General features: G+C 50.0%; 1 protein-coding gene across 3 annotated transcripts in view, besides 3 other annotated features; it reads left to right on the forward strand.

Moving 5' to 3' along the window:
• Positions 1-10,512, forward strand: part of CYP4F22 (cytochrome P450 family 4 subfamily F member 22) — a 43,793-nt gene extending 33,281 nt beyond the window's left edge. For all 3 annotated transcript variants that reach the window (XM_011527692.3, NM_173483.4, XM_011527693.3), the window contains 6 exons: positions 2,166-2,232; positions 2,345-2,474; positions 6,303-6,436; positions 7,333-7,397; positions 8,869-8,951; positions 9,489-10,512. In XM_011527692.3, the coding sequence (XP_011525994.1) occupies positions 2,166-2,232; positions 2,345-2,474; positions 6,303-6,436; positions 7,333-7,397; positions 8,869-8,951; positions 9,489-9,666 (657 nt within the window). In that variant the 3' untranslated portion in view covers positions 9,667-10,512. The remainder of the gene's footprint in view (positions 1-2,165; positions 2,233-2,344; positions 2,475-6,302; positions 6,437-7,332; positions 7,398-8,868; positions 8,952-9,488) is intronic.
• Positions 9,761-9,810: a silencer, noted in NCBI's record as "silent region_10283". NCBI's record gives its function as "represses an Ori minimal core promoter by ATAC-STARR-seq in GM12878 lymphoblastoid cells {active_cell/tissue: GM12878}" and the evidence as "EXISTENCE:reporter gene assay evidence [ECO:0000049][PMID:35858748]".
• Positions 14,008-14,067: a silencer, noted in NCBI's record as "silent region_10284". NCBI's record gives its function as "represses an Ori minimal core promoter by ATAC-STARR-seq in GM12878 lymphoblastoid cells {active_cell/tissue: GM12878}" and the evidence as "EXISTENCE:reporter gene assay evidence [ECO:0000049][PMID:35858748]".
• Positions 14,528-14,667: an enhancer, noted in NCBI's record as "active region_14191". NCBI's record gives its function as "activates an Ori minimal core promoter by ATAC-STARR-seq in GM12878 lymphoblastoid cells {active_cell/tissue: GM12878}" and the evidence as "EXISTENCE:reporter gene assay evidence [ECO:0000049][PMID:35858748]".

Genomic DNA, 21,719 nt, shown 5'->3' on the forward strand with positions numbered 1-21,719 from the left:
GGAGGCGGAGGTTGCGGTGAGCTGAGATCATGCCATTGCACTCAAGTGAAACTCCGTCTCAAAAAAAAAAAAAAAAAAGAAAAAAAAGAAATACATGACCTTGAAGAGATGAGACACTTCTATGGTCACTCATTGGTGTGTCTGTGGACCTTTTGGGTTCTGGATTCAAATAGTCCTGGATTCCAGTCCTGGCTCTGTCGCTTAGTGGATGTTTGACCTTAGTCATTGACTCTTCTTCCCAAGCCTCAGTTTCTCCATTTATACCATGGTGATCATAAAACCTGATCACAAGGTTGTCAGGCATCCAGTGGGATGCTTGGTGTTGGAGGCTGCTCAAGAAATATGAACTTCCTTCTTCTCCTCACTGTTGACTTTCTGTCCCTCTTTACATCTTTCTTTTCTTTTTTCTTGTTTTTTAAAAATGTAATTTAAAGTTCCAGGATAAGCCGGGCGCAGTGGCTCACCCCTGTAATCCCAGCACTTTGGGAAGCTGAGGTGGGAGGATCACCTGAGGTCAGGAGTTCAAGACGAGCCTGGCCAACATATTGAAACACCGTCTCTACTAAAAATAAAAAAAAAATATTAGCCGGGCGTGGTGGCATGCATCTGTAATCCCAGCTCCTCTGGAGGCTGAGGCAGGAGAATCGCTTGAACCCTGGAGGCAGAGGTTGTAGTGAGCCAAGATTGCGCCACTGCACTCCAATCTGGCAACAAGAGAGAAACTCCATCTCAAAAAATTTTTTTTTAAATTAAATGGAAAGTTCAAGGATACGTGTGTAGGGCGTGCAGGTTTGTTACGTAGGTAAACATGTGCCATGGTGGTTTACTGCACCTATCAACTCATCACCTAGGTATTAAGCCCTGCATGCATTTGCTATTTATCCTGATATTCTCCCTCCTCCTGCCACCCTGATAGGCCCCCCAAGTGTGTGTTGTTTCCCCCCTGTGTCCGTGTGTTTTCATTGTTCAGCTCCCACTTATAAGTGGGAACATGTGGTGTTTGGTTTTCTGTTCCTGCCTTAGGTTGCTAAGGATGATGGCTTCCAGCTCCATTCAGGTCCCTGCAAAGGACATAATCTTGTTCCTTTTTATGGCTGCATAATATTGCATGGTATATATGTACCACATTTTCTTTATCCAGTCTTTCATTGATGGGCATTTGGGTTGATTCCATGTCTTTGTTATTGTCAATAGTGCTGCAATGAACATATGTGTGCGTGTATCTTTATAATAGAATAATTTATATTCCTTTGGTTGTATACCCGGTAATGGGATTGCTGGGTCAAGTGGTATTTCTGGTTCTAGGTCTTTGAGGAATTGCCACATTGTCTTCCACAATGGTTGAACTAATTTACGTTCCCATCAACCTTGTAAAAGCGTTCCTATTTCTCCACAGCCTCACCAGCATCTCTCACTCAGGGTCTTGCTCTGTCACACAGGCTGGGGTGCAGTGATGCGGTCATGGTTCACTGCAGCCTTGATCTCCTGGGCTTAATCCTCCTGCCTCAGCTTCACCAGTAGCTGGGACTACAGGCATGCATCACCACACCTGGCTGATTTTTTTTTTGTAGAAATGGGGTCTTACCATGTTGCCCAGGCTGGTCTTGAACGCCTAGGCTCAAGTGATCCTCCCACCTTAGCTGCCCAAAGTGTTGGGATTATAGGTGTGAGCCACCATGCTGGGCACTTTCCATCTTTATTAGACAAGTTGCATACTTCCATCTTCCTGGACTAGTTCCCCCCACAGCTTGGCTTAAGAGAGAGAGGGGAGCCAGGCGTGGTAGCTCATGTCTGTAATCCCAGCACTTTGGGAGGATGAGGCAGGTAGATCACTTGAGGCCACGAGTTCGAGACCGGCCTGGCCAATATGGCAAAATTGCATCTCTACTAAAAATACAAAAATTAGCTTGGAGTGGTGGCATGTGCCTGTAATCCCAGCTATTCAGGAGGCTGAGGCACGAGAATCACTTGAACCTGACAGTCGGAGGCTGCAGTTAGCCGAGATTGTGCCACCGCACTCCAGCCTGGGTGATAGAGCGAGACTCCATCTCAGAAAAAAAAAAAAAAAAAAAGATGGGGGCGGGGAGATATCTGAGTTTTGAGGAGCCCCTAGGATGCGGAGGGTGGGATGAAGTGGGCTGAGCACCCTCTACTGCCCATTCCAGGATGAAGATGGAAAGGAACTGTCAGACGAGGATATCCGAGCCGAAGCAGACACCTTCATGTTTGAGGGTGAGGATGTGGGGTGAGGCTGGAGGAGGGCAGGAAGGGACATCATTGTCTGTAGACAGCATCTCTGCTTTCTTCAGGCAGCCTCCATTCAGATACCCTCATCTCCCTGCAGGTCACGACACAACATCCAGTGGGATCTCTTGGATGCTGTTCAATTTGGCAAAGTATCCGGAATACCAGGAGAAATGCCGAGAAGAGATTCAGGAAGTCATGAAAGGCCGGGAGCTGGAGGAGCTGGAGTGGTGAGTGTGGGGTCAGGGGAATGGAGGGGGCAGGTTGAGGCCAGAGCCTTGGGTGTAAGCCTCTGCTCTCCCACTTACTGATTGTGTGACCTCAGACAAGCCACTTTAGCTTCCTGAATTGCAATTTCTTCAGCTACAAAATGGGGGTGGTTATAGTGCCTATGCCCACCTCATAATGCAGAAGTTCTCAAAGTGTCCTAGTCAGCAATTATTGCAATGATGCTGCATAATGAACAGCTCCCAAACTTAGTGGTTTACAGCAAGCATTTGTTTCTTGCTTTTGTATGCACACATTTCTTGCTCTTGTCTGCTCATTACTCTAATTGCTGTTGGACTTGGCTGAGTGGAGTGGAGTTGCTTCAAAACTAAGAGCTGGGTTCAGATCTGCTTCATATACTCCCTTTCTGTTCTCTTTGGACCAGAGGCTACCCTGGGTCGTATTCTTCTCAAGGCAGATTCCAGAAGCACAAAAAGCCATGAAATTTAAAAGCTTTGCTTGGGCCGGGTGGGGTGGCTCACGCCTGTAATCCCAGCATTTTGGGAGGCCGAGGTGGGTGGATCACCTGAGATCAGGAGTTCGAGATCAACCTGGCCAACATGGTGAAACCCCATCTCTACTAAAAATACAAAAATTAGCCAGGTACGGTCATGGGTGCCTGTAATCCCCCCTACTCGGGAGGCTGAGACAGGAGAATCACTTGAACCTGGGAGGTGGAGTTTGCAGTGAGCTGAGATTGCACCACTGCACTCCAGCCTGGGCTACAAGAGTGAAACTCTGTCCCCACCCCCCCACAAAAAAAGATAAAATAAGTAAATAAATAAAATAAAAAAAAAAAACAAAAGCTGTGCTTGCACTAGAAGATTGCATTGGCTAAAACAAGTCACGTGACCAAGCCCAGCATGAATGGGGCAGGACATATACTCCACTCACCTGAGCAGAAGGCACTGAAGAATCATATGACAAAGGGTACAGGTATATAATTCTAATTCAGGGAGGAAGTGGAGAATCAGAACACATACCCAGTCTCTACCAGATTCATGCTATGTAGAGCTGATTCTGGGTGATGAAAAGAAAACACAGCATTAGGCTGGGCGTGGTGGCTCATGCCTGTAATTCCAGCACTTTGGGAGGCCGAGGGGGGTGGATTGCTTGAGCTGAGGTGTTTGAGACCAGCCTGGGCAACATGACGAAACCCTGTCTCTACAAAAAAATACAAAAATTAGCTGGGTGGGGTGGCGCATGCCTATAGTCCCAGCTACTTGGGAGGCTGAGGTGGGAGGACTGCTTGAACCCAGGAGGTGGAGGCTGTGGTGAGTCAAGATTACGCCACTGCACTCCAGCCTGGGTGACAGAGTGAGACCCTGTCTCAAAAAAAAAAAAAAAAAAAAAAAGAAAAGAAAAGAAAAGAAAAGAAGAAAAACACAGCCGCAACATTAAATAGCATCAACTCACACAGTGAGGAGGTTCCTTTCGGTTCTATTTCAACCTTTTGCCTTATGGCCTCAGGGGGACATGCTCAGTGGGGTGCTACTGTGTCCTGAACACTTTGCTAATCTTCCTTTTAAACAAGTGGAGAAGATGTCTCAGGTTGAGAGAGTTGGGTGGGAGTTGGTGTGTAGACACAATTTAATAACACACTACTGCTTTCACAGTGGTGTTTGTATGGATGAATACCTTTATGCCAGGGATGCTGTTTGCCCTTTATAGCAACATGAAGTTTATTTTTTTTTAAGACACAGGCTGGAGTGCAGTGGCATAATCATAGCTCACTGCAGCCTCAAACTCCTGGGCTCAGGCAATCTTCCTGCCTCAGCCTCCTGAGTAGGTGGGACTATAGGAGTGTGCCACCACAACTGGCTAATTTTTAACATTTTTTTAAGAGATGGGGACTTGCTGTGTTGCCCAGGCTGCTCTCAAATCCCTGAGTGCAAGCAGTCCTCTTACTTTGGCCTCCCAAAGTGCTGGGATTATAGGTGTGAGCCACTGTGCCCAGCCATAAAGTTTCTTTGAAAGAGAACCTGGGCCAGGTGCAGTGGCTCATGCCTGTAATCCCAGCACTTTGGGAGGCTAAGGCGGGTGGATCACTTGAGGCCAGAAATTCAAGACCAACCTGGGCAACATGGTGAAACCCTGTCTCTACTAAAAATACAAAAATTAGCTGGGCGTATTGGTGTGTGCCTGTAATCCCAGCTGCTTGAGAAGCTGAGGCGTGAGAATTGCTTGAACCTGGGAAGCAGAGGTTGCAGTGAGCTGAGATTGTGCCACTGCACTCCTGCCTGGATGAAACAGCAAGACGCCATCAAAAAAGAAAGAGAACCTGCTAATTTAAAGAAACTAATCTAATCTAGAACATGAACCAAGAGTTATCATTAGCCCAATTTTGGGCCCTAAAGTCCAAGGGAAAAAATATTAAGTAAATGATATTATAAGGAGATAATGCACTTTTCTTTTCTTTCTTTTTTCTTTTTTTCTTTCTTTCTTTTTTTGAGATAGGCTCTCACACTGTGGCCCAGGCTGGAGTACAGTGGCATGATCATAGCTCACTACAGCCTCCTGAGTAGCTGGGACCACAGGTGTGTGCCATCATGCCCAGCTAATTTTTTAACTTTTGGTAGAGATGGGGTCTCTCTTTGTTGCCCAGGCTGGTCACGAACTCCTGGGCTCAAGTTATCCACTTGCTTCGGCCTCCCAAAGTGCTGGGATTACAGGTATGAGCCACCATGCCTGGCCTGCACCAGTTTTTTTTTTTTTTTTTTTTTTAAGACAAGAGTCTCACTCTGTCACCCAGGCTAGAGTGTAGTGGTGCAATCTCATCTCACTGCAACCTCCGCCTTCCGGGTTCAAGCAATTCTCTTGCCTCGGCCTCCCAAGTAGCTGAGACTACAGGTGCACGCCACCACACCCAGCTAATTTTTGTGTTTTTTAGTAAAGATGGGGTTTTGCTATGTTGGCCAGACTGATCTTGAACTCCTGACCTCAGACGATCGCCCATCTCAGCCTCTGCAAGTGCTGGGATTACAGGCGAGAGCCACCACACCTGTCCTGCAGCAGTTTTTTAAGTACAGAAATGGACCATATAAACTGGCATATTGCTGTTGCCGTGAGTCCCCTTGGCTGTCCTGGCACCTCGCCTAGGTGCCCCTGGACCTCCACATAATTCATCAATTAAAGGCTTAATGCTGGGCCCAGCAGAGGGCCCAGTGCTAGTGCTGTTCTGAGCGGTTGGTGCTCAGATACTTTGCATCCTAAGTATTAGTACTGGCCGGGCACTGTGGCTCACGTTTGTAATCCCAGCACTTTGGGAGGCCGAGGTGGGTGGATTGCCTGAGGTCAGGCGTTTGAGACCAGCCTGGCCAACATGGAGAAACCCTGTCTCTACTAAAAATACAAAAATTAGCCGGGTGTGGGTGCGCATGCCTGTAATCCCAGCTACTTGGGAGGCTGAGGCAAGAAAATTGCTTGAACCTGCAAGGCTGAGGTTGCAGTGACCCGAGATGCGCCACTATGTTCTAGCCTGGGCAACAAGAGCGAAACTCGGTCTTAAAAAAAAAAAAGAAAGAAAAAGGAAAAGAAAAAACAAAAAAACCACTAAATATTAGTACTTCCCACCTGTGCATGAGACAACTGCAAATGGCAGAAATTGGGGCAAGTCTAAAATCCTGGACTGGTTTCTTGCCCAGCTGCCCCTGAGAGAGAGAGAGAGAGAGAGAGAGAGGGAGAGAGTGTGTGTGTGTGTGTGTGTGTGTGTGTGTGTGTGTGTGTGTGTGTGTTTTGGGGAGGTGGTGCCATGGTGGCTCGGCCTCTAGTTATATCTCCATTCTCCCCAGGGACGATCTGACTCAGCTGCCCTTTACAACTATGTGCATTAAGGAGAGCCTGCGCCAGTACCCACCTGTCACTCTTGTCTCTCGCCAATGCACGGAGGACATCAAGCTCCCAGATGGGCGCATCATCCCCAAAGGTGCCTACCATGTTCCGCCTGCTGCTGGTGCACTGCCTCCAATGATGTAGCTGCTCTATTGTCCACAGGGGCCTGGCTATGCCTGCCCCAGGTGCACTATCCCTGCAGATGGGATAGCTCTCTGTGTGCCTGTTGCTTCTGGGGTGTTGGAGAAAACCCAGTTGTGTGTGCAGGGAGATAGAGCCGGGTGAGTCCAGGTGGAAAGGAAGGAGGCAGTGTCGCAGGGATGGGCCTGTGAGGGTGCAGTTGGGGAGGGTCAGTTTCATTCAGTTGCCAGTTACTCCCTGGAGACCAAGCCCTGCCTTGGTTGATACAGGGGACCCTGGCTCAGGTTTTGAGTATTGCCCTTTCTGGGGGAGATACAGCAGGGTGCAGACATTCCCAGGCGTATGGAATCAGGAATGGGCTAAAGGGAGAGACAGGGGCTGGAGTAGCTCCAATATGGAGAGGAATGCAGGGAGGGCTGCCTGGAGGAGGGAATGTGGGAGGTGAGGCTTGGAGTGTGGAAGTGAAAGAGTGAGCATGTTTATGGAGTAGAGCCTCAGGATGCAGATTTTGAAAGGCCTTGAGTGCCAGGTGATGGCGCTTGAACTCAATCCTGGGGGCAGCAGGGAGCCAAGGTAGGTGTTTGAGCTGAAGAGGAGCAATGTCAGATCTGCGAGTAAGAAAGATCCCTATGTGGCCAGCTTGGCAGCCAGAAAGAAGATGATAGGTTCCTCTTAGGGAAAGGTGGGAAGAGTGGATGGGGCAGCAGAATTTTTTAGAGAAGGATGGACAGAAGGTGGTGGCAGATGGCTCATGGGAACATCATGGCTCTAGGGAGACCCAAGTTGGGGGATGTTTCTGGAGGAGGCCCTGGCTCCCCTTGGCCCCACTGATCCCATCTTTCCCCACAGGAATCATCTGCTTGGTCAGCATCTATGGAACCCACCACAACCCCACAGTGTGGCCTGACTCCAAGGTGAGTGCCTGCCCCACTCCTCCCTGCCCTCAGGTCCTCCCCTCCCCTGCGCCCCAGGGAGCCAGCGAGCAGGGCTGGTTGCAGGGCCTGAGTGCGCACACCCCTCCCCACTCCGCATTTAGCCATTTATTCACCCACTGATTGTTAATTCATTAGGGCAGAAAATATTTATTGAGCACCTACTGTGTGCCAGAGTGTGTGCTGGGCTCTGAAAATAGAGGATGATACTGTCTTTGCCTTTACAGGGCTCACAGTGAAGTTTTGGGGAAGACAATAAGCAAATAAATAAGATTTTGGGTATTGATACATGCACAAAAGAAAGAAAAACTGGGCCAGTTCCGGTTTACAGGTGCAGTGGCTCACACTTGTAATCCCAGCACTTTGAGAGGCTAAGGTGGGAGAATCGCTTGGGCCCAGGAGTTTGAGACCAGCCTGGGCAACACAGCGAGACCCCCCATCTCTACCAAAAAGGAAAAAGTTGGCCCAATGTGGTGGCTTGTGTCTGTAATCCCAGTGCTTTGGGAGACCAAGATGGGAAGATTGTTTGAGGCCAGAAGTTCCAGCTCAGCCCAGCCTGGGCAACACAGTGAGACCCCATTTCTAAAAAAAAAAAAAGTTAGCCAGCCATGGTGATGCACATCTGCAGTGCCAGCCACTCGGGAGGCTGAGGCAGGAGGATCGCTTGGGCCCAGCAGTTTGAGGCTGCAATGAGCTATGGTTATTTATTTATTTATTTATTTGAGACTGGGTCTTGCTCTGTTGCCCAAGCTGGAGCGTGTGCAGTGGTGCGATCTTGGCTCACTGCAACTTCTACCTCCTGGGTTCAAGAGATTCTCCTGCCTCAGCTTTCTGAGTAGTTGGGATTACAGGTGTGTGCCACCATGCCTGGCTAATTTTTTTGTATTTTTAGTAGAGATGGGGTTTCACCATGTTGGCCAGGCTGGTCTTGAACTCCTGAGCTCAGATGATCCATCTGCCTTGGCCTCCCAAAGTGCTGGGATTACAAGCGTGAGCCACCGCGCCCAGCCTGCAATGAGCTATGATCGCGCTTCTGCACTCCAGCCTGAGTGAGACTCTGACTCTAACAAACAAACAAACAAACAAAGACAGACAAACAAACAAAAAAAAAGAAAAACAGGTGGAGGGGGCACTTTAGCTCGAGTGGTTATGAAAGGCCTTGCCGAGGAGATGTTTGAGCTGAGAACTTAGGGGATGAAGGATCAGGGAGAAGCCTGTTCTAGGCAGAGGAAACAGCAAGTGCAAAGGCCCTGAGGTGGAATCTCACTGGTGCGTGTGAACAACAGAAGGAGGCAGGTGTGGCTGCATTGCAGGAAGTGCAAGGTGGAATGGAAGAGGTGGCCCTGGGGTGCTCCCCATCCATCTTTACTGACCCCCAGAGGCTCAGGGAAGGGGGCCAGGCTGGGATGTCTGGGGCAGCCCCCAGACTCATCTCCAGGCTGTTCCTCCCTAGGTGTACAACCCCTACCGCTTTGACCCGGACAACCCACAGCAGCGCTCTCCACTGGCCTATGTGCCCTTCTCTGCAGGACCCAGGTAACCCCTCTATTTCCCCTAGTCCAAGCCAGCTGTGTAGGAACAGAGGCAGGGAAAGATCAGGAATGTGCCTCTCAGGAGCAGAGATCAGATGGCACCCAGGCGTCCTTTCTGAAGACCCAGCACCCTCTCCCCAATGCGCCAGGAGGCCCCCAAATCAGACTCTGCAATAGCATCCTGGGTATTGAGCACCAACGGTGTGTCAGGCCCTGAGTTCTGGGCTCCCACGCTCCCATTGGCTCTATGATGCCTTTGTCCCCGTTTTTACAGATGAAGGAACTGAGACTCAGAGGGGGCGCTGTGTATCCAGGACACACAGCTAGTAAGAGGCTGTACTGGGATTCAGACACTCAACCCCAAGGTCACATTAATTGAGCGATCCGTGGGGTCTCACTTTAACCCTCACCCAGCGTGGGGTTTCACTTTAACCCTCAGCCAGCCCAGGATGCTTGCTTCATTTTCAAAGGAGGCATGTGACCCCCGGGGACCAGTGCTCACACAGAAGCTGGGCCTGAGCCCTGTCCCCTCTTCCTCCAGGAATTGCATCGGACAGAGCTTCGCCATGGCCGAGTTGCGCGTGGTTGTGGCACTAACACTGCTACGTTTCCGCCTGAGCGTGGACCGAACGCGCAAGGTGCGGCGGAAGCCGGAGCTCATACTGCGCACGGAGAACGGGCTCTGGCTCAAGGTGGAGCCGCTGCCTCCGCGGGCCTGAGCGTGGGCGCGCCCCTGCGGCTCCCGAGGGTCCAGGCCCCGCCCCCAAAGGACCAGGACTCGCCCCAAAGATCCCGAGGGCATAGGCCACCCCCCTCGAAGTTCAGGTTCAGCTCCTGGATGACCAGGCACCGCTGTTGAGCAGCCTGGTGGTACTGGCCACGCCCCTCAAGGCAAGGCTCCTCCCCTTAGGGGGCCTGATCCCGCCCCTTGAGGCTTAGGTCCCGCCCCCTGACTTCTCGCACCTGTCCTGTTTGAGGGACCAGGGTCGACCCTGCCCCCTTGGGCTCAGGCCCCGCCCCCAGGATCCTACGGATTGAGGTCCTCAGGCCACGCCCCTGCAGATCCAGGTCTCCAGGCCTTGCCCACTGAGCCTTCAGAGGACCTAAGACCCACCTATGACTCAGGGCCCACCACACCCCACCCCCCCCCAACTGGCTGAACCCCTGGCAGGCTTCCAAACTGAGGAAAGCTGGAGCCTGACGTCAGAGCTTTTAACTCGGACATCACCCTCCTGAGGCCCTCAGCTCATACGGGCAGACTGCTCAGGCGTGAGGCTGGATCGTAGGGTTCGAGGCTGCTTGCTTTTGTTGTTGTTTTGTAAACTCAGACCCTTGTAAGCCCCTTCCTTCCTCCCTTGCCCAAAGATCCTTTGCTGAGTGTTCTGTTTTTGCAGAATAAAAGCAAAGGATGCAGACTTACCCCACCCTCCACCCCTAGCTCAGCCAGATCCTTACACGTGGAGCCCCCAGCATGGGAATGAGGGGCTCTGCAACTGAGCGAAGCTGCGGGCTAGGAGGCTGGAAAGCCATTTATCCTAGGACATAAACTCAGATTTTGGGGGTCAGTTTGTGTGTTCATTTATTTCATCAACAGATCACATATTGTTTGCTGGCACTGCTTCAGAACCACAGGCAGGCCCTGTTTTCTGCCTTCTTAGGGGGTGGGGGACAGATGTTGAACAAATAATTCCACGTGTAAAGGTTTATTTACAACCCAGGACAGGTGCTCCAAAGGAGAGGCCCCGGGTGCTGGATGAATATAGCAGAGGGATGGGGATGGGTCAGGGAGAGCTTCTCCGATGCTGGAATGGAAGTTGAGTGGGTGACAAGGGGAGGGAAGAGTATTCCAGGCAGAAGGAACAACATCTGAGAATACCCTGAGCTGAGGGAGAACAGAGTGTGTTTGAGGAACTCACCAGGGGCCAGGTGGTTGGATCTGGGAAGTGGGGGCAGAATGAAGGAAGGGGCCAAATGCACAGGCTTTATGCTGAGGGCAATAGGGAGCCATGGAGAGTGTGTGAGCGGGATCAGGACAGGACATGGCCAGATCTAGGGCTGGCAGGGAGGTGACTTGCGGGGTTGGGACCCTGGGAAAGAGGGAAGCTGAGGTCCAGACAACAGGAAGGGCCAGGATTGGGGTGACTATCTAGCAGTGGGGGCTGAGGGGAGGGAGGTGGTAAGGGTGATGCTCAGGTATTTGGCTGAGGGAACTTGATGGTAGAGTAGTCCCTGATATGGGAATATAAAAGATGGGGGCCAGGCGTGATGGCTTACACCTGTAATCCCAGCACTTTGGGAGGCTGAGGCTGGAGGATTGCTTGAGACCAGGAGTTAGAGACCAGCCAGGGCAACACAGTGAGACTCCATTTCTACAAAAAATAAAAAATTAGCCAGGTGTGATGGTGCACATCTGTAGTCCCAGCTACTTGGGAGGCTGAGGCAGGAGGATCACTTGAGCTGAGGAGTTTGAGGCTGCAGTGAGCTATGATCACACCACTGCACTCCAGCTGGGGCAACAGAGCAAGACCCTGTTCCAAAAACAAACAAACAAAAAAAGGTGGGCAATGACAATGTCAGCAATTTTATACATATAAAATGCTACACTAAAGGAAAATGATACTGCTATTATACCACATATATAATATATATATATGCACTATATATGCCATCATTATATATATAGTGGTGGTATAATAGTGGTATCATCTTCCTTTTAGGTAGCATTTGCCTGTAGACTATTTCCATCTAGGTCACTAGAGACAATAATATTAATTCAACAGGCCGGGTGCGGTGGCTCATGCCTGTAATCCCAGCACTTTGGGAGGCTGAGACAGGTGGATCACCTGAGGTTAGGAGTTTGAGACCAGCCTGGCCAACATGGTGAAACCCTGTCTCTACTAAAAAATACAAAAATTAGCCACGTTTGATGGCGGGTGCCTGTAATCCCAGCTACTCAGTAGGCTGAGGCAGGAGAATCGCTTGAACCTGGGAGGTGGAGGTTGCAGTGAGCCGAGATTGTGCCACTGCACTCCAGCCTGGGCGACAGAGTGAGATTCTGTCTAAAAAAAAAATTAATTTACCAAATATTTCTTGGGCAATCTGCCGTGAGACAGGCACTGTTTGAGCCCTAGGTTCCCAGAGTTTACCTCTAGGGAGGAGATATGATAAATGATAAATAAGTAAAGAAAGAAGTAAATTCACACAGGGCCTTTTCTGTGACTTTTTTTGTGACAGAAATGGGGAGTTCTGAGCAGAGGAGGGACAAGCTTTGTCATACGAACTTTTTTTTTTTTTTTTTTGAGACAGGGTCATGCTTTGTTGCTCAGGCTGGTGTGCAGGGGTGCAACCATAGCTCACTGCAGCCTTGGCCTCCTTGGGCTCAAACGATCCTCCTGCCTCAGCCTCCTGAGTAGCTGGGACCACAGGCACACACCACCATGCCCAGCTAAGCTTTGTATTTGTTATCGAGACGGGGGTCTTACCATGTTGCCCAGGCTGGTCTTGAACTCCTGGTCTCAAGCGATCCTCCCACCTCAGCCTCCCAAAGTGCTGGAATTACAGGTGTGAGCCACCATGCCAGGACTTCCACAGGACTTTGTGTGCTCTGTTAAACAGAGACAGTGTGAGCAAAGATGGGACTAGGCAGATCAGTTAGGGGTGACTGCATTCGTCCAGGTGAGACATGATGGTGGCTTCAACCAAGCCGGGGTCTTTAGATGTGATCAAGAGCAATTGGATTCCAAGGAGGAGTGACTGTTCACAAAGGCAGTGCTGTCAGGCTTGGTGGTGGATAAAACGTGAAGTTTGAAAGAAGTGGGGGACACTAGGTTTGGGCTTGAACATCTGGAAAAATGGAACTGCCATCAGCTGACGTGGGGAATGCTGAGTGGAGTAAGTTGTTTTGTGGGAGATGTCAGGATGTCAGTTTTGGTTCAGAGGAATTGGACATGTCAGTCGAATAAACGGTTCTCCAATTCAAGAGTTTTGGGTTGGGCATGTATATTTGGGAAGCCTTAGTATAAATATTTTATATATTTTTCCAAAAGCTAGTGAAGCGATTTCAAATGGGGGTGATTTTTCCTACCAGATGACATTCGTTGTTATTTGGAAACATTTTTGGTTGTCACAACCGGTGGTTACTATTTGCGTCTAGAGGGTAGGGACCCAGCACTCTGCTAAACATTCTACAAGACAAAGGATACCTAGCTCAATAAAACAAGTAATTATCCAGTCCCAAAGGCAACAGTTCTGCTAATTAAAAACCATGAACTGGAGAACCAAAACAAACAAAAAAAAAAAAACAAAAAAAAAAAAACAGAAAAGAAAGCAAAACTTTAAGACTGGGTGAGATCTCATGTGTGCGTGTGTGTGTGCGCGCACGCGCGCGCGCGCGTGTGTGTGTGTGTGTGTGTGTGTGTGTGTGTATGGAGTAAGGGCTTAAGGGAGCCCTGGGGGTGGTCTCCAAAGTTAACCTAACAATTATGAGGCCAGGCGTGGTAGCTCACACCTGTAATCCCAGCACTTTGGGACGCCGGGGTGGGCGGATCAGTTGAGGCGAGGAGTTCCAGACCAGCCTGGCCAACATGGTGAAACTCCATCTCTACTTAAAATACAAAAAATTAGGGCAGGGCGCGGTGGCTGACTCCTGTAATCCCAGCACTTTGGGAGGCCGAGGCGGGCGGATCACGAGGTCAGGAGATTGAGATCATCCTGGCTAACACGGTGAAACACTGTCTCTACTAAAAATAAAAAAAAAATCAGACGGGAGTGGTGGCACGCGCCTGTAGTCCCAGCTACTCGGTAGGGCGAGACAGGAGAATCGCTTGAACCCGGGAGACGGAGGTTGCAGTGAGCCAAGATAGTGCCGCTGCACTCCAGCCTGGGTGACAGAGCGAGACTCGGTCTGAAAAACAAAAACAAAACTTTTTTTTTTGATTGAGTGCTTCCTGTGTGCTCTTTCCATATATTCCCATTTAATCCTCATACTGACTTGTAAGATCACTTTTTATTATTCCGTTTAACAGAGGTAGAAACTGAGCCCCCGAATGAAGTGACTTACCCAAGATCATTCGGTGCGGCCTCAGCGCTGGCGCTGAGTCCTCTTCTGCCCCACCCCTCAGGCTCCCAGTCCTGGTCTAGATCCCTAGCCACGTAGCGTAGAAGGGGGCGTCGACGGGGGTTGGGCTAGAGTTGGAGCGGGGAGGAGATGAGCTAAAGCGGGGCTGGCTGTGCGAGAGGCAGTAGCAGCGGCGTGTGTCCTGGGGCGCCCCCCGGTGGCCTGTGCTGGGGTCGTCGGCCGGGATCCCCTGTTCGACGTACTCCGGGGCTGAATGGGAAACAGACAGTCCCAGACCCTACGTGAGCCACCCGGATCTTGCAGGTGCTGCCTCTCCTACACCCCCCTCCCAACCGAGGGTCTCCAAGAGCGCATCCTTTGCCAAACATCTCCTGGGCCCTTTTCGGCGCAACCTCGCCATCCACTAGCAAACGAAGTTAGCCTTGAGATCCGACATATGTGGGCTCAATCTAGGCTCTTCCTTCCTAGGGGCGGCCTTGGGCACGTGACTGTCCCTCTCTGCACCTCGGCTTTTTCTTGTCATGCGAATAGTCCGGTATCATCATGCTTGTAATGCACACTGAGTTTCCGCCAAGGGCCACGAGGGTGAATAAATGAGAATGAGAAGGGGAGGAGTAAGGTCCCTGGGTCCCCGGAGCCCTGTTACACGTACTGCAAGTGTAATTCTCAAAACACCGAAGTCTGGTCCTGTCGCTGGCGGCTGTGGGACCTCCTTCCTCCTGAGTGTGAAGAACGCTCCCTCTGCTGGACAATTTGGAGATCCATTCTCTATTCGTTCAATTTTGTGTCCGTGCACGTTTGAGCGTGCATGTGTGACCGCGTATGTGTTTGGGTGCATTTGGGTAACAGTGTGTGCATGTGTTGTAGTGTGCACACGAGTGTGTGTAAACGTGTATGTGTCGGTGTGACTGTGTGTGCGCATATGGATGGGTGTGTTGGAAGGAGAGGAGAGGAGAACTCCACTCACTGAGTCACTGTAACTATCCACACACACCAGGCTGTGTTCCTGCTCATGGCTGGAGCCACTGTCAGAGCCCTTGCCTCTGTCCCCAGGTCTGACCTGTGCGGTGCAGGCAGGACATTCTGGAGAAATCATGCCCTTGGAGGAAGCTGTCAGTAATGACTGGTGGGTATTGGTGGATAAATACCCCAGCTCCCTCTCTCTGGGGGTGAAGACTCCCTTGTTCTGGGAGGTGCATGTTCTATTCTGTCTCCCTGAGGTACTAGGCAGGGCTGAGCCCTAGCTACCCACAGTGGAAACTTCCTCAATAAAGGTCCCTTTAACTGCTGCTGCCTTCCCTTCCCCATCCCTCTTCTCCATTGCCCTAATTGTGTTTCCAGGGATCACCTCCCAAAGAAACAACAGGCAGTTGAACTCTTGTCTTATGGTCACCCTCCTGATAGAGGATTTGCACTCAACTCCTTGTATTAAGGTCTAGTTCCAGGGAACCCAAATTAAGACACACATGTGTGCTGGTTCCTCCAATCCCCAGAAGCCTGTCAGTGTGCGCTTTTATTTATTTTTTTTACCAACGATGAATGTGAGGCTCAGAGAGGGCAAATCACTTGCCCAAGGTCACACGGCAGTGAGGGAGTGGCAGAGCCTGGCTTTGACTATGGGCTGTCTGACCACAAGCTGGGTGCTCACTCCTCTCCTGACAGCCTCCTCCCTCCTCAAGGACATGGAAGGAGCAGGGAATAAGTTATAAGTGTAAAATTTGAAAGGGAAATTCTTCCGCTTTCTGCTTCTGCTTCTACCTCTGGCCCAGCAGTTTGGTGTGCTCTTTTTTCAGTTTTTAAAAATTAAAAAACGTTCATATATATATGAACGTTTTCCAATGTATATAAAAGCATTTATGCACACGTTACCGGGTTTTTTTTGTTTATTAAAAAAATTTTTTTTTTGGAGACAGGGTCTCACTCTGTCACCCAGGCTGGAGTGCAGTGGCATGATCTCGGCTCACTGCAACCTCTGCCTCCTGGGTTCAAGTGATTCTACTGCCTCAGCTTCCTGAGTAGCTGGGATTACAGGCACACCACCATGCCTGGCTAATTTTTTTTTTGTTATTTTTAGTAGATATGAGGTTTCACCATGCTGGCCAGGCTGGTCTTGAACTCCTGACCTCAAATGATCCACCCACCTTGGCCTCCCAGTGCTGGGATTACAGGGGTGAGCCACTGCACCCGGCCTTTTTTTTTTTTTCTTTTTTTGATACAGGGTATTGCTCTGTTGCCTAGGCTGGAGTGCAGTGGCTCAATCTCAACTCATTGCAACCTCTGTCTCCTGGGGTCAAGCAATCCTCCCACCACCACATCCAGATGCTTTTTTTTGTATTTTCTGTAGAGATGGGGTTTTACCATGTTGCCCAGGCTGAACTGGAACTCCTGGATTCAAGTGATCCGCCTATGTTGGCCCCCCGAACTGTTGTGATTACAGGCCTGAGTCACTGCACCCAGTCCATTATCAGTTTTTTGATGACTCCAAACTTGTTGGGAAATATATCTGTTTCAATTATCTATTATTGTATATTGAACTACCAGGAAACTTAGTAGGTTAAAACAATATACAGGCCAAGCTCGGTGGCTCATGCCTGTAATCCCAGCACTTTGGGAGGCCGAGGCTGGCGGATCACCTGAGGTCGGGAGTTCGAGACCAGCCTGACCAACACGGAGAAACCCTGTCTCTACTAAAAATACAAAGTTAGCCGGGCGCGGTGGTGTGAGCCTGTAATCCCAGCTACTTGGGAGGCTGAGGCAGGAGAATCGCTTGAACTAGGGAGGCAGAGGTTGCTGTGAGCCAAGATCATGCCATTGCACTCCAGTCTGGGAAACAAGAGCGAAACTCCATCTCAAAAAAATAAAAAAGATATACAAGTTTTTTTTTTTTTTTTGGTATGTGTGTATGAACTCCTATCTGTATCAGAATATATACAACTTTTAGTTTGCTCACAAGTTTACAATTTGGGCAGGGCTCAGCCAGGATGGCTTTCTCAGTCCTACACAGCATCAGTGTGGGCAGCTCATTTGAGGCTGGAAGAGATACTTTGAGGTGGCTCACTCTCATGGCTGGCAATTTGGTGCTTCCTATTTGCTGGTACCGACTTCCTGCCTCGGCCTCTCAAAGTGCTGGGATTACGGGCATGAGCCACAATGCCCTGACCATTTTATTTTTTCTTTTATTTTCTTTCTTCTTTCTTTTTTTTTTTTTTTTTGAGACAGGGTATTGCTCTGTTATCCAGGCTGGAGTGCAGTGATGCGATCTCACCTCACTGCAATCTTTGCCTCCTGGGTTCAAGTGATTCTTGTGCTTCAGCCTCCTGGATAGCCAGGATTGCAGGTGCATGCCACCACACCTGGCTAATGTTTGTTGTGTTTTTAGTAGAGACAGGGTTTCGCCATGTTGGCCAGGGTGGTCTCAAACTCCTGACCTCAAGTGATCCACCTGCCTTGGACTCTCAATGTGCTGGGATTGCAGGCGTGAGCCACTGCACCTGGCCAAAATATATAATACATTAAAAAAATAAAGTTTATTAAAAAGAAAAAGAAGAGAGGAAATCACTGAGTAACATCGAGTAACATGCTCTGGTGGTGGTTCCTAGCTCTTGTGTGACCTCTGAACTTTTCCAAAGTTCCCTTCTAGGATTTCTGTCTCCCAATCCAGTTCATCTGGTCTTCTGTCACCCGGGCTGCAAATGTGGCAGTTATAGCTATACCTGCTGGTCCTGCCCTCAATATGGACTAAGGGGCTTGTTGGGTTTGCAATTCTTCTTCTTCATCATCTTTTTAATTTTTATTTATTTATTTATTTTTTTGAGATAGGGTTTCACTCTGTCACCAGGCTGGAATGCAGAGGTGCAATCCTAGCTCATTGCAACCTCAACCTCCTGAGTTCAAGCGATCCTCCCACCCCAGCCTCCCAAGTAGCTGTGACCACAGGCATGTGCCACAACACCTGGCTAATTCTTTGTATTTATATATGTATATATATATATATATATATTTTTTTTTTTTTTTAAATTTACTTTTTCAGAGATAGGGTCTCGCTGTGTTGCTGGTCTCGAACTCCTGGGGTGAAACGATCCACCTGTCTTGGCCTCTCGAAGTGTTGGGACTGCAAGCATGAGCCACTGTGCCTGGCTGGGTTTTGAGTTCTTGAGAGTGTTAAATGAAACTTCAACACTGGCTTCTGGTGTGAGCGTTGGGTGAGATTTCATCGGTCACCACATGGGTCTCCAGTGCACCCTGCTTCTCCTGCATCTCTTGGTTGCAGGCACCCCTCTAGCTCTGATTATCTCAGTGCATTTGAGGATGGAAGTGAGAATGAACATGTGTGTCCCACCTGGTGCTGGGTCTTTATACAGTGGCCCTTATGCAGAGCCCCCTCCTTTATGTCATTCAGGTTCCTGCTCAAAGGTCTCCTCTTGGGACATTCCTGCCTGATCACTGAGTCCAGAACAGCCCCCTCAGTCGCTGTCTAGCTTGTCTCATTCTGTTAATTTCCCATAAGAGAAGTGGCATGTCACCATCACCATGCACTATTGGTTAAGCAACTTGAGTAGCTTGGGACCTCAGCCTCCCAAGTAGCTGGGACCACAGGCATGTGCCACCACACCTGGCTAATTTTTTTGTATTTTTGTATTTTTTTTGCAGAGATGAGGTCTCACTGTCACCCAGGCACTATAGGTTAAGCAACCAATAGTGTGTGGTGGAGGTGGTGACATGCCACTTCTGTTCTCAATCCCAGGCCAGTCCAGATTCAAGGGGAAAGAAATTAAGCTCTCCCTCTTGCTGAAGACAGTGACAAAGACTTTGTGGCTATCACCTTTAAGGGGTCTGGGTTAGAATCTGAGATTCTGCATTTCCAAGATGCTGCTGATCCAAGGATCACATCTTGAGTGTCCACTTCTTATAGCTCATGGCTAGAAAAGTCCCTTTCTTCCCTAAATATTTAATGAGCACCTACTACGTGCCAGGATTCATTTTCACCCATGCTAATGTTTAATTACTTCATTGTGTGGCTGGAGCAAGTTTCGGCACCTCTCTGTTTTTGATTTTCCCCCTCCCTCTTCTCCCCAGACCTAGCTGGGCACCTACCCTGTTGCCTCCCACCTACTCCAGGGGGCCCTGGCCTTGCCCCTGGCTCGTCTGTGGGGTGGACCAGGTGGAGCCACCCCAGTAGAGAAGAAGGAGAATCTGTACATCTCAGCTTGCTGGCAGCTCCAGGGCCCTCCAACGTGCTCTAGGACCTGAAGCTGGATCAGGCAGGGCTACATGGTATGTAGTTAGCTCTTAGTGGGGGAAGGAAATTTTGGACATCTCCCCAACATTCGATCAATTACAGGAGGAACACCTATCCTGATTTTCTCATTCAGCAGCTCCATCCTTCAAACTTACTCTCATCTTGGGGCTGGGCTTGAGGGCTCACGCCTGTAATCCCAGCACTGTGGGAGGCCGAGGCGGGCAGATCATGAGGTCAGGAGTTCAAGACCAGCCTGGTAAACATGGTGAAACCCTGTCTCTACTAAAAATACAAAAATTAGCCAGGCGTTATGGCGGGTGCCAGTAATCCCAGCTACTTGGGAGGCTGAGGCAGAAGAATAGCTTGAACCTGGAGGTGGAGCTTGCCATGAGCTGAGATCGCGCCACTGCACTCTAGCTTTGGCAACAGAGCAAGTCTCCACCTCAAAAACAAACAAACAAAAAACGAAAAAAAACCCAAACACCAAGAAAACAGAAAACCCCACTCACCCTCATCTTAGCGCCTGAGGGCTAAGAACACCCAATAGGGGATTTCAGGACAGTATCTGAACAAGATGTGCCCCTTTAAGGCCAACATCCCATTTCCCAGATAGGAAGACCCAGTCCCGGAGACCCAGCACTGCCCACAGTCAGAGCAAGGACGGGGCAGAATGAGGACTCCACTCAGAGTCACTCCGCTCTGCCCACCCACGCCTGCCCCCTGTCCGCCCACAGCCCCTCTCACTCTTGCCCCCTATGCCTCCCACCCCACCTTCTACACTGAATAAATCTTCCCATTATAGTGATCCCAGAGTCAGCTACTTAAGAGTCTTGGCCAGGCGTGGTGACTCACGCCTGTAATCCCAGCACTATGGGAGGCCGAGGCGAGTGGATTGCCTGAGGTCAGGAGTTCAAGACCAGCTGACCAAAATGGCGAAACCCCGTCTCTACTAAAAATACAAAAATTAGTTGGGTGTGGTGGTGGGCACCTGTAATCCTAGCTACCTGGGAGGCTGAGGCAGAAGAATAGCTTGAACCTGGAGGCGGAGCTTGCAGTGAGCTGAGTTCACGCCACCTCACTCCAGCCTGGGCAACAGAGCGACACTCTGTCTCAAAAACAAAACAAAATAAAACAAACATCAAAAAAATGAAAAAACCCCACTCACCCTCATCTTAGTGGCTGAGGGCTGAGAACACCCAACAGGGGATTTCAGGACAGTATCTGGACAAGATGTGCCCCTTTAAGGCCAACATCCCATTTCCCAGATAGGAAGACTGAGCCCAGGAGACCCAGCACTGCTCACAGTCAGAGCAAGGACGGGGCACAACGAGGACTCCACCCAGAGTCCCTTGGCTCTGCCCTCCTATGCCTGACCCTGTCCGCTCATGGCCCCTCTCACTCTTGCCCCCTGTGCCTCCCACCCCACCTTCTAGACTGAGTAAGTCTTCCCATTATAGAGATCCTAGAGTCAGCTACTTAAAGGTCTTGGCTGGGCACGGTGGCTCACGCCTGTAATCCTAAAACTTTGGGAGGCTGAGGCGGGTGGATCGCCTGAGGTCAGGAGTTCAAGACCATCCTGGCTAACAGGGTGAAATCCGTCTCTACTAAAAATACAAAAAAATTAGCCAGGCGTGGTGGTGGGCACCTGTAGTTCCAGCTACTTGGGAGGCTGAGGCAGGAGAATGGCATGAACCTGGGAGGCGGAGCTTGCAGTGAGCCGAGATCACGCCACTGCACTCCAGCCTGGGTGACAGAGCGAGAATCCGCCTCCAAAAAGAAAAGAAAAGAAAAGAAAAGAAAAAAAAAGAGTCTTGATGAGTTTCACTTGCTGCTGAAGGCTTCTTTCCTTTCTATCTAGTTTCCTAATCCTCACTGCTGTGCATGCAGATAAATCTGTTTTGCATTAATTAAAACAAACAAAACCGACCACAGCTGCCTGGTTTACTCTTCCAGTTCTCCTCTTAATCCCCAGAATCTGACCTGGGTAATCCTCAGCGGGGCTGGATTCTTTGTTCTTTGTTCCTGCTCCTGGCCATCATGTGTCACCTCAGCCCTGGGCTGGCTGGAGGCAGGACTTGAATTTCTGCCAGGTTGTGCAGTCAGAGGCCAGAGACTCCCTTCTCCAAGTCTCCTAATTCTGCACCGAGAAATGGTGCATGGTGTCCTCCCAGCCCACTTGTGGGAGATGTTTGGGTGCAAGGCTTGGCCTGCCTGGTTCTCCTTGCCTGACGCCTGAATTCCCAACCTCATGATTTACGTGGCCTTGGAAGGGCAGGGGCAGCTGTAAACTTGGGGTCCCAGAGTCACCTTGGCCCCAGGTTCAAGCAGGAGATACTGAAGGCTGAAGATCCAGTTTCCACTCTGAACTGTGACACTGACTTGGTTCCTCTCTGCACCCAGCTGATACTGCCTGCAGGTTTTGGCCAGCTGCCCAGGCAGGGAGGAGGCAGCCAGGC

Source organism: Homo sapiens, chromosome 19 (assembly GCF_000001405.40).
Source record: "Homo sapiens chromosome 19, GRCh38.p14 Primary Assembly".
Taxonomy (NCBI): domain Eukaryota; kingdom Metazoa; phylum Chordata; class Mammalia; order Primates; family Hominidae; genus Homo; species Homo sapiens.